The 12,699-nt window shown below is 38.8% G+C and overlaps 1 protein-coding gene across 18 annotated transcripts in view, besides 2 other annotated features; it reads left to right on the top strand.

Annotated features, from left to right (window-relative positions):
• Positions 1–12,699, top strand: part of SYBU (syntabulin) — a 117,623-nt gene that overhangs the window by 72,990 nt on the left and 31,934 nt on the right. Inside the window, exon 1 of one of the 18 annotated variants that reach the window (NM_001330596.2) lies at positions 10,549–10,700. The exons of the other annotated variants lie outside the window; for them this stretch is intronic. Coding sequence (NP_001317525.1) covers positions 10,664–10,700 — 37 coding nt within the window. The 5' untranslated portion in view covers positions 10,549–10,663. Of the gene's footprint in view, positions 1–10,548; positions 10,701–12,699 lie in introns of those variants that run through there. 18 annotated transcript variants of the gene reach the window in all.
• Positions 4,126–4,921: an enhancer, noted in NCBI's record as "NANOG hESC enhancer chr8:110625919-110626714 (GRCh37/hg19 assembly coordinates)". NCBI's record gives its function as "activates a minimal SCP1, AML or CMV promoter by ChIP-STARR-seq in primed H9 embryonic stem cells {active_cell/tissue: H9 hESC(primed)}" and the evidence as "EXISTENCE:reporter gene assay evidence [ECO:0000049][PMID:30033119]".
• Positions 4,490–4,589: an enhancer, noted in NCBI's record as "active region_27813". NCBI's record gives its function as "activates an Ori minimal core promoter by ATAC-STARR-seq in GM12878 lymphoblastoid cells {active_cell/tissue: GM12878}" and the evidence as "EXISTENCE:reporter gene assay evidence [ECO:0000049][PMID:35858748]".

Below are 12,699 nucleotides of genomic sequence, written 5' to 3'. Positions count from 1 at the left end.
TTTTTTAAAAAAGAGACAAAAGTGAAGAAATATAAGCCAGATGTTTTAACAAGCATTTAAACTATATGAGTAATTCTAGATTCAATTATACTAAGCAATTAGTTAGTACTATCATAAGTGACCACAAACCGTGAAGAGAACAGGTTATCTCAATGCAAATCTCTGTAGAGCTGGGAGTTATCTTGATGCAAATATGTAGAGCTGGGCATACTTGCTAACTTAGTTATAGTCTTTTAGAGATTTAAATATGAATATGATATGTATAAACACATGTAAATGTTCAATAATTACAAAATATTAGAAGCTATAAGATGAAATGGAGGTCATCACTGCAGTGAATGAAATGCCAGCAGCATCAGAAAAGGTCAATTCTCAGAATCTGCACTATGTAAATGAATATTTTGTATCTCAGAAATACACATGCAGTATATTTACTTTAAAGTAAAAGGATGTGTTCATCGTCATTGGGAGGTATCCTCTAACATTGCATTATTCTCTTTAACATTCACAGTTATGCTATCCATATTTATGAGCTGAAAAGACAGATTACTGGCTTGCATGAGTCCTTGTTTCTTACATTTGTCTTCTAAGTTTTGTTTGGTGATGACATTATTGTGCAAGGAGCTACAGATGGTTTTATTTTGATGGGGCCAAGGCCTAGCCCTGTGTCCTCTTCCATAGGATGCTAACATTTCTTTCTGCTTTTGTTCTTCCTGAGTCACTGATGTACACAATACATCATAATGGATTATTCTTCATCTTGCTCTTGTCAACCAAAGATTAGGTCATTTTGTCACCAAGGAAAACTTAAACTGTGAAAAAGAAATCCTCTATTTCCTAGTGGTGCCTGATAAATGTTAGTCATAATGAATTCGTTAATAGTCTCCCACTTTGGAATAATATGTAAAAGAAAAGGAATGCTACACAATGAAGAAGGAAAGACAGCCTATAAATGAGAAAGATGGGGATGATACAAAGGGTGTTGAGCACCCTTGATATTTAAGAAAGAGACAATGAGTTAAAGAATGTCATGAAATTTTAGCCAAGAAATAAAACAATTACCTTGTGTACCCAAGGGCTAGGACTGTCTCCCTTAGCTCAACTGCCTTTTTGAAAAATTGAGATATGATTCATATACCATAAAATTCACCCTATAAAGTGTTCAATTCAATAGTTTTTAGCCTATTCAAACTGTTGTGCAAACATCACCATTTACTAATTCCAAAAAGTTTGTATCACTCCCAAAAAGAAACCCCAAGTCCATCAGCACTCTGTTCCCCCTTTCCCCAGTCCCTGAAAAGCACTAACCTACTCTCTGCCTCTATTTGCCTATTGTCGACACCTCAAACAAATGGAATTATACAGTATGTGGGCTTTTGTACATGGCTTCTTTCCCTTAGAATAATGTTTACAATGTTCACCCATGTGGTGTACATCAGTACTTCATACGTTTTTATTTTATTGTATTTTTTTTTTTGAGACAGATTCTCACTGTCGCCCAGACTGGAGTGCAGTGGTGCGATCTTGGCTCACTGCAACCTCCACCTCCAAGGTTCAATGGATTCTCCAGCCTCACCCTCCCAAGTAGCTGGGACTACAGGCAAGCGCCACCATGCCCGGCTACTTTTTTTTTTAGTAGAAATGGGGTTTCACCATGTTGGTCAGGCTGGTCTCAAACTCCTGACCTCAAATGATCTGCCTGCCTCAGCCTCCCAAAGTGCTGGGATTACAGGCATGAGCCACTGTGCTGGCCCTACCATCCTCTTTTTGCATTCCCAGAACACAGGCTCTAGTGCACATTAGAGACTCAGTCAACATTTGTTGACCTCAACAGCAAAGGTAGGCTATGGGATTCAGAAGATAAAATGATGTAGGAAAGAATGTCAGCTTCATAGATTGAAAAAAAAAAAAAAAGTATGTTTCATCATGAAGCTATTGTAGGGTTTTAACATAACCTGTAATGATTTTATTTTTGTTATCCTCAGCCCACCCCCACCACCTCATTCCCAAAACATTTTATGGTGATGGCAATACAAGGAAACAGTGAAACAGTAGACAAGTATGGCACAGTAAGAACAAACTAAGTTTATATGAGCGTTAATATTATCATGGCCCTTCCTTGTTTCAATAATCATAATAATTATATGTTAACAAAATACTTAAAACTCTGTGTATATATACAGAATTCACACTGAGCAATTCCCTAATCCTGTAGAAAATACTCATTTGCTAAAGAGCAGCCACTCATCTTGATGAGAAGTATTATGGCTCTCCATCTTCATGAGGAAATCACAGGGAATAGGCCGGGCGTGGTGGCTCATGCCTGTAATCCCAGTACTTTGGGAGGCTGAGGCGGGTGGATCACGAGGTCAGGAGTTCAAGACCAGCTTGGCCAACATGGTGAAACCCCGTCTCTACTAAAAATACAAAAATTAGCCAGGCGTGGTGGTGTGTACCTGTAATCCCAGCTACTCAGGAGGCTGAGGCAGGAGAATTGCTTGAACCCTGGAGGCGGAGGTTGCAATGAGCCGAGATCATGCCACTGCACTCCAGCCTGGGTGACAGAGCGAGACTCTGTCTCAAAAAAAAAAAAAAAAAAAAAAAGAAAGAAAAGAAAAGAAAAGAAATTACAGGGAATAAAGGAAGGATAAAAGGATGGAAGGAAGGAAGGAAAACAAAAACAGTTTTTCTTAATGCTATTTTGATTCATGGATCCTTGAGAATCATTAAAACTATGGACCCATACTCCAGAAGAGTGTCCATATGCACAAAATATCACATACCATTTCAGGGGTTTCATGGATCTCATTTGTTAGCATTTATGAATCCTAGTTCAATGACCCTTCCCCAAAGCCAAAGCCTCAAACAACCGCTTTTGTTAACTTTGTCAACTGCTTCTAATGTAATTGCTCAGAGGCATAAATATCACCTGAGCAGTTTTTAGCTGGTGATCTTTTTATTTATTCATATTTAACCAAGGTAAAGGGGTCCCTAAAGCTTATTTTTTTAGTTGCCTAAAATTTCTAATGTCATCACTGGAAACGTTGCTACAGCTTTTTTGAGTGCGACCTAATTCTGTACGGTAAGTTCTTTGACAAAAATCTGCACCGTGACCTATAGTTCTCTGAACTTTTAGCAGAAAAAACCTGTCAGTCTCATAAATATGAAGAGAGGAAATCCTGGAAGCGAGGCCCCTGGATGACTCTAAAATTTATAGAATCCAGAGACATAATCTGTTAAAACACAAGAGGATACTGCTCTCAGGTCAAAATGTCCTGCCTCCTCCATAGCCCCAAGCGACCATCTCCTCTCAGCCAAAATGGATCTTCAACTCTTGATGCATGCTCTACTTTTTTAAAAATAAGTCAACTCATTAATAACAATACCAATTTATTAAAATAGCAAGCAATTAGTGGCTCTTATACGGAGGCTCAGGGACTCTTTAATATTAAGTAACCTAAGCCCATTTAATTTTAGGTCTCTTGCTCTAGATTCTGGAACACTGCTGTTCACCTCAGGAAGGAGTTATTAAAATGCCCCTTTGGTCATTAAGATAAAGAGCTAATAATGTTCCCTGAGTGTATGATGCAGAAGAAGAAGGGAAATATGTCACAGGACCTCGGGGAAGGGCTTGGAAAGGTGAGCCGAGCAAGCCTGTACCTTGCCAACAGGGCCCGGCAGCACACGCAGCAGGAAAGCCCTTCCTGTTTCCAGGCAGGAACTGGTTCTGGAAACTTCTTGGAGGCGGTGAGCCTTCTGTCATTTTGGCTTCTATCACTTAATGCCTATGCAGATTTAATTAAAAATTGCCACCAAGGAGCAAAAGAAAACAGTACTACAGTCCAGTTGGATGGTGGCTTTGTGTTTTCATGTTTCTCTTTTATCTACAACTCTGCAAAACACGCAAGGCTGAATCTGCAGAGCCTAATTTGTGTCTGTCATAAAGTATTAAAGCTGTCCAATAAATACTTAAATGAGAAGTAGAGCTTATACTTTGTGCAAGAGATTATGTTTTGTGTGGGAGGAGCGTGGGGAAGTTGTGACAAAGAACCTCCTCCACAGCATCCCTGCTTTTAGGGAGCTTGTAATTTAAGGCAGAATACTGTATGATAAGTTTGGACTGTGGTACAGATTAGAAGAAAATAAATGAAGGCTTTACAACTGGGAAATGTTTTAGGAATCTGAGGTGTTCCTGCTCCCAGGTGCTCCTCCCGTATTTAGTTTGCAGTCAGTTTCCTGATGAAACTGTTTCTACCCAGAAATGAAAGACCTACCTAATTGGATTACTTCCTTAGAACATTAAATGACAGTGCTGGGCCTCATTTAAGGCTTGACTTCCTACTTGGGGAATATCTTAAAGCAAGGAAGAAAAAGATCTAATGTCATTGTTTTACAAAGGGAAGTACTAAATCTTTTTGTCCACAAGGTTAGAGAGATGGGAAAACCATTACACAATTTAAACAAATAAGTAGAAAGTGAGAAAGGAGAAAAGCACTGGAGGCTATTAAGGAGACTGGTAAAGAGCAAATGGTTAGGGTCACTAAAATTTACAAGAATCCACATTTAGAAACTGAAATGTTAAAATCTGCATGTGAAAGATGTCACTGTATCTCCTTAGCATTCAAACTAAGTTAGTATCCCCTTGTCATCAGACACTACCCCTGCTACTGAAATTGGAGACCTAGCTAAGCTGAACTCTAATAACCTTACGACAATAGCAGAGGATTGGTTACTTTAGAAAACCTTATTTCCCACATTCAGAAGCATTTGCTAGAAAACTCAAAAGGCACCAACAAGGTTAGTGGTTAATCAACACTGATTCCCTTAATAGAGGTTCATGCACACACAGTGAAGCTGACAGATGTTTCTGTTCTTACCATGAGCATCACTTTCACTTCAAAGTTAGTTCTGTGAAATAAAACAGCTAGACAACTTACCTAGAGTAGGCCATTCTTGTAATAACTTGAACAACCTAGAGGGGAGTTGAGAGTGTAGATTTACACAGCCTCTCCCCAGGTTACCTAACTTGTCCTATCTTGGGGGAAAAAAAGTACTTTTGTGTTATTGGGTGGGGGGGAGGAGAACTTTCTAACCACTAGGCTCTAGAGTCCAGCATACTAGGTTCAAGTCTTTATACCACTATTTTGTAGCTGTGTGATCTCTAGCTACTTGTTGTCTTCTTGAGACTCTGTGTTCTGCATCTGTAAAATAGGTTATGGAAAATATGAAATAGGTGAAATTAATGAATATCAAGTGCTCTGTGTTGGACCTGGCAGAAAGTAATTCCTCACTAAATGTTACTGATGGTCATTTGTAGCTCTTAAAATAGATGCCACACATTCTGTGCACTTCATGTACAGGAAAACTCCTAAAAACTCTCACACACAATTTGCATGTACTTGGAACAAAAATCTAGCAGGTTATGTTATCCCATGTCACATAAAAGGAGAGGAATAGTTGCTCTAGGAGGACAGACAGGAGTATGAGTTTACAGCTGATGGCTGACAATGAACAGAGATGGGAAAATATAAAAATATAAGTGAGCAGACAGAGACCACTAAAAAGCTAGGTGGTGCTTTTTTTCCTTTCTTTTTTTTTTCTTTTCTTCTTCTTCTTTTTTTTTTTTTTTTTTTAACAGAGTCTTTCTCTGTCACCCAGGCTGGAGTGCAGTGGCGCAGTCTCAGCTCACTGCAACCTCCGCCTCCCAGGTTCAAGCAATTCTCCCTTCTCAGCCTCCCAAGTAGCTGGGATTACAGGTGCCTGCCACCACGCCTGGCTAATTTTTGTGTTTTTAGTAGAGACGGGGTTTCACCATGTTGGTCAGGCTGGTCTCAAACTCCAGACCTCAGGTGATCTGCCCGCCTTGGCCTCCCAGAGTACTGGGATTACAGGCGTGAGCCACCGCACTCCGCCTGGGTGGCCTTTTAAGTGTTTTAGGCCATTGACAGCTTTTATCACTTGTAGCGCTTAGTGCAGTAATTGATGTAAAAGCAGATTGAATCAATGTGATGGTGAAGTTGGAAAACACAATGTATATGAAGGCAGAAAAATGTGCCAAGCATTTTAACAGTGTCTCCATAGAGTGGAAAAAAATTAAAATTTTAGTGCTAACGGGAAGATTTTGGTTATATGAAAACATTCTGCATACTTTGGCAAGGCATAATTTTTCTAATAGCTTGCCAGTTATAAGCTAAGGTCTTCCGGCAGCAAACCCGAGCCTCAAATACAGGCTGTAAGCTATTTCAGATACTATGAGCCTTATGAAAATATTTGGAAGGATACATTAGATGTAACTGTGGGCTTGAATAACACTCTGAAATTTGATTAGTTTTTTTAAACGAATAGTTATCAAGCACTGCCTGTCCCAAGCAAAATTCCAAGCACTTAACTCATTTCATCCTAATATCAATGCAAGAAAGGGATATCATTATCCTTCATTTTACAGATAGGAAAACTGGGGTACAAGGAGGTTAAGTGACTCATCCAAGGTCACACAGCTTGTAAATGGATTTTAAACAGGGTAGCCTTGCTCCTAACTCTTAACCGCGGCCATAGTAGTAAAGTCCACCTTCAAAGGAGTAATTTTAATTGCACTAGGAGAGTGTTAAAATTAAGAAAGACGTGTTGATATAAAACACAATTTTTTAAAATGTTGGTAGAGCCCTAAAAATTCCTACTAATTTTTATAAATTAGCTGATACAGTCCATATGTACATTATGTTGACAGTTGCCAGTAACAAAATCAGTGAGCCTCAATGTAACTGCAATGAAGTACAGAAAGTTGGACATACAAGGCCATTTGGATGCAAATCAGTAAAAATAAACCATAAAGATATGAATAGCAAAAAATGTTAAGGTCGTCAGTGTTTTCTACTTAATCATGAGCTAGTCCTTTCTTCACATGTCAAAATGTCTTATGTGCTACCCTGCATATCATGAATATTTTCTTAAATGAAAATCATTAGAGTTTGTCAGCTTAAGCAAGAGCTTTTGTATTTATACTGAAATAGATCTCTAAAACTTTCTTTCACCCTGAGAGAAAGAATGCTCCCCTAGGATACAGCAGATCATGTTTTATGGCAGGCCATTTTATAGTTTATCACATCTCCCCAGCAGGGACCAAACCAGTAAAATAAAGCTTAAATGTGATAAGTGGACTTAGTGTTTATCTTTATGGCAGGGTTACATATTTTCTCTCATGCCTTTCTCCCATCTGTGTTTTCGATGATGCACCCAATTGATGTAATGGTGCCAAATGGCCCTTTAATGGTTTTTCCCTAAGAATTAGTGAATTATAATCCTCTTCTTTCCAAAGGTAATTGCCATCCAAATCCTGGGTCTACTGGGATTTATTGCATGCACAGTGTTCTTAGCCACTGATTTGGGGGCCTGCCAAATGCTTACTCAGTACTCTAATGTGTTGAGAAGGAAGCGTTATAGGTCTCTCAAAAGTAGTGGAAGCTCCAGCAGACCAGATACCCACCATTCAACGTATTTATCAACTGTCAGCATAACAGAAATAAACCTGGAAACTTCTTTTACACACAGACTTCTAAACCAAGCATTGTAGATCATGCAGATATATGCTTTAGGTTGGGCTTTCCCCACCTCCCTAATTGAGGAGCATTTATTGAAGAGACTGACTGCAAAGGTATGTGCATGATTAAGGGGATTCGATAAAGTATGGTAAAATACTGGGTGCTGGCAACAGCTTGGGGCCATTCCTGCATCCTGAAGGAGCAAGAGGAGGGTAGAGTTACCAACCTAGAGAGAGAACTTCAAGGCCACCTGTGAAGGAACTATGGACTTTAGCAGAGGAATGCAGCCACCAGCAGAAAAGGGGCCAGAGGGATAAATACCTGGACCTCACTGTCTGCTGGTACAATCTGTTGCATGGCATTTTGGTGAACTGTAGGATTATTTACAGAAAGTTACCTGTTGAACAGCATAGTATGTTCACTTGGGCAATTCGATGGGTTAATTTCTTCCACCACCTAAGCCTGTATCTAAGAGCAGCCAAGTAAGCTATATGAATGCCGACTGCGGTCAAGTGGAGTAATGCTTCAGCAGCACAGCTGCAATAGGCTTGTATTCCAACATACACGGACTGGCATATTTGTAACATTGCAAGAAGGTGACGCTCTGAAGGAGTCTAAAGGAAAGGGAACCCTCATTTCACCACGTAATCAAGAAGAGGTTTCTGCTAAACATAGGTTTGACTCCTGGCTGTACATTTACTAGCTTTCATTCATTCATTTGATGAATATTTATTAAGTGTTTGCTCTATGCTGACACCATTGTTCCAGGCATTAAGGATAGAGGAGTGAAAAAACAAGATGCCTACCTTTAACGTGGGGGAGATGGCTGATGCTTGCACACAAACAAGATAAGTTCAGATGGTGACAAGTAAAACAAGGTAACTGGAGAGTGATGGGGGATAGTCAGGGGAGTGTCTGGGGTGGTGACATTTGAGCTGAGACTTTAACCTTATTGTTCCGTGCTTAAGGAGGGTTGGGGATGGGGTGGCAGGTGGTGGGCAGAGCGGTGAGTTAGGAAAGGAGAAGAGTGGTAGCAGCTGAAGTCTATATCCTTAGAGTAATGTGAAGACATTGGAGGGTTTTAAGAAGGGAGAAATGATTTGATTTACATGTTTGGGATCCCTCTGACGACTCTGTAGAGCTTGGATTATCATGAGGTGAAACTGGAAGCAAGACACTAAATTTGGATGGCTTAGCCTAGGATGGAGGTGGTGGAAATACAGAAAAGCATAGGGAGACAGTAAATATATAAGATCCCCTAATTTTCCTAATGAGATTTTTAGGTGTTTTAATTATTTATTATTTTAGAGAGACAGTGTCTTGCTCTGTCCCCCAGGCTGGAGTTCAGTGGTGTGATCATAGCTCAATGTAGCCTTGAACTCCATGGCACATGTCATTTCCAGTTATAGCCAGGACATCAGAGTCAAATGGGTGCTTATTATGGAAAAGGAGAATAGAGAAGGACATTAGTGTACAACTAGCAAGCAGGTTGTCACTGGATAGCATGGGACAGCTGGTTTTTCTGTATATTCATATATTCTTGTATACATATATGAGTATCCTTCATTATCGAAAGCTATTCAGTCACTGAATTGAGAGAGCAAAAAGGAATATAGGTTTTTGTGATTGCTACAACTTAGCCACTGACAGTATTTCTATTTAAAGTGATCATTAAAAGGCTGAAGGAGTCATACCATAGGAATAATTACAAAATCTGTTTGTGAATTTCTTTGTCTCTTCCATTTTAAACAATTCCATCAGTTGACTCTCCAAAGGGAAGCAAAATTAGCACTGATTGCAGCCAATTCAGAAGGATATGTCTTTTGCAAATGGCACTTTTTGTTCAAAGAAGGTAATTAGGAGAGAGCCCTGTAATAAGAGGCTTTGGAAGGACTCTAATGTAAGGGGATTTCTTCTTTTCTGAGAGGTAATTGCAGGAGGAGGGGTTCTTCACCTTATATTTAGACATTGAGGTAGAGTGGACCAGGTCACCTGCAGAGCAGCACGGGTCGGGGGAGTTTATTTGGTAACATAAGGAAATATTCTCTCTTTTTCTTTAACTGTAATATGAGGGGATAATTAATATGTAGCTTCTTTGCATTATTGTGAAAATCATGAAAGGTGTTAGATATGTAGCAGAATGTATGCATTACCTAAATACTACACAACACTGAGGGGTAAACATGCACATCCTCTATCTTAGCAAAAATCGGTGTTGGCATTTGACAGTGAGCTGTGTTTGTAGTGACAATATTTGCCTGGCATACAGTATGTGCTCAATAAATGATCACTTTTATTATTATTATAAAATGGGAAATAAGAAAAGTTTACGAATAGCACAACTTTAAGGCATTTGAATGTCCACTCAGCATCTCATCTGCATTAGTCTTATTCTGTCACAGATGCCTTCTTAGTAAGACTTATTCTGAAATAATGGAGAGCTTTGGTGGAAGCTTACTAAACATTTTTTCTGAGCAAACTTCTATTTAGAGGGAATCTGCCTTAAATTGTTCCAGAGAGCTCTGTATTCCATTTTCTGTCCTCAGAATAATCAGGCTCCCCTATTCCTTTCTTCTGGGCAGTGTTGTGAATTGTCATGCATATTTAAATAGCTGGAATTCATGGAGTACACCAAGAATTTTTCTCAAAGTGCTTGGTGTTTGCCATAAAATTTGTGTTTGCCATAAAATTTAGGGCTGTGTGGGGTTTGATATAATTTCTTGCTTGCCCATTGGGATATTATAATCAATGTGGAAAGATTCTATACGTTTTGGTCCAATATTGTCCGAGGATTCATCTTGACTGTTGTGTAGGCATTTACTTCTATTTGACAATTTGGTATTTCTTCAAATCCTTTGTGTCCATTCATGAGGGCGATGGTTTCATTGGAACACTGCAGTCACCAGGGAGAAGGCCCTGTGCTCTTCCCTGATAGGCTGGCTTTCCCTCTGCCTCCTGTTGCTATGGTGCCAGCAGAGTAACTTCCTTGCCCTGCACATGCAGAAGGCTCAGTCTCCATGGATACCCCACTCTGAGACTGTACTCTACTGAGATATGAGCTGCACACACTGTATTTCTGCAAAAGACATACCCCAGCCTGTGCTGGGAGGCTGTTTGCAGAGGCAATGTTTGCCATGAAAGTCTATGGAGCTTACCTTCTAAGTAAGTAGTATTAGTCACAGTAAGTAAATAATTATATTGGATCACAGAGGCTAGACTGTGTGTGTGTGTGTGTGTGTGTGTGTGTGTGTGTGTGTGTGTGTGAGTTAGTTGTGGTAGGCCAAAATGGAGCCTAAAACAAGTTTTCATCTTCACCTCTCAGATACTCTGAATGCATGGTCTTATAACTAAACTTTTAAAAATATACACATGTGTTATTTTAAATACTCTTTGTCATTTGTAAGTCTATTTGTGCAATTGTAAGTCAATTTGATGCCAAAATGAAAAAGACTGACCATTGGCAATTATATTTAGAATGCTCTTCCAACCATGAGCATTGCATGTTGCATTTGTAAATGAAAAGCCTGGCCTTACCAGTGGTGTGGTAAGGGAATAGATGAACACAGCCACAATTAACGCTAATTGGCACTGCACATAGTTTGAAGTGGGCCTCTGTGTAGGCTGAAACACGATGTATTTATTATCAAGAGAGAGCCTGTTCGTGTGATTAGGAAAGGGAATACCCATGTCTGCCTGATTACCATGAAAATTACTCAGAACACATCTCTCTGGCCAGTTTTAATTTACTTTTCTCACATGGCATCCAGTAGAAATTCTGAAACAGTTAATGTTCATGGAATTGGGATGTGGAACATTTTTATTTTTATTAACTAATTTGACCTAACACTTCCTCTTTACTGTACATTCCAAGAGCATAAAGGTTGGGTTTGTAGTGTTGTAAAACACATGAGTCATCTTAAAGTACTTTTCATCTGCTGGGCAAATGATTAATGCCTGTGGTGGTAAAATTAATTAGTAGAAACAAAAGAAATACTATGTTTATGGTAACTCCAACTTTAGTTCGGTAACTTTAAAATTGTGTAAAATTAAGATATTTAGATTGTTCACATATATAGCTGACATCTGGCAGCTCTAAACAAAAAGCAAAACATATACTATATTAGTATAAGAGAAATTCATCTTTAATCATATAAAAAAGTGAACACAGCATTATGCTAGATTGTTAACTTTGTTTACTTTTTTATGCTCATGACTACTTAGGCAAAGGGCACACTGTTTTTATGTCATCTTTTCCAACGGTTAGTCATGGCTCAATTTTAATTGCCCAGAACAGTGAAAAGATACCACCCTTTGAGAATGTGAATGTACCAAGGACTACTCTGTCCCTGGCTTTGTCACTGGGGTCAAACTTTAGGTGATTAACTTAATATTTCATAAGTATAATTTCTAACAGTAGATGGAATAGCAGACAAACATGGGTGTGTGAGAAATTCTATAGAGATCATGATTTTGGAGCCCTGGAAACCATGTGGATGACACTTTCTCCAAATTTTTACTGCACTAACAGTATAAAGCCCCATATCCCTTTCTCAGTGGATCTGCAATGAAGTCCCCTGCCCACCTCTAAAAACCAGCATAGTATGGGATTTATTTTTAACCTCAAAATATCTGACTCTTTTCTCTAAAACTTTTCTTTCCTCTATGTAGTGGAGATAGTAAGAGTACCCCTCACATAAGGCTGCTTTGAAAATTCAGTGAAATAATCAATGGCATATGGCATACAAAAAAATTAACTTCTATTGTATTGTGATTACTATAAACGTTATCATCATTTTTACAATGCCTGGTAGTCAAGGGAGGCATTAGCTAATAGCTTGAACAATTCTTTGTTTCAATTTGATTCAGCCTATCAAATTTCTTATCAAGTACTTACTAAGAATCTACTATGTGCTTAACATTTTGATGGGAATTGTGGGATTTTATGTACATGAGAATGTACCTAACAAAAAGTGAAATATACAGTAGTGGTTTTTGTTTCCTTTTCAAATGTGTGACTTTGTTGTTTTGCTAAATAGCTATATATATGTGTATGTATGTATATATATGAAATTGTTTTGCTATTAACAAAATGGGTAAGATACCACAGTCTGAGCCATAGCATAAGTCTAGTTAATATTTACAACTTGAATTTAAAATGTGA

Source organism: Homo sapiens, chromosome 8, assembly GCF_000001405.40.
Source record: "Homo sapiens chromosome 8, GRCh38.p14 Primary Assembly".
Lineage (NCBI taxonomy): Eukaryota > Metazoa > Chordata > Mammalia > Primates > Hominidae > Homo > Homo sapiens.
Note: the sequence above shows the minus strand (reverse complement) of the source record. Positions and strands in the feature narration are given on the sequence as shown.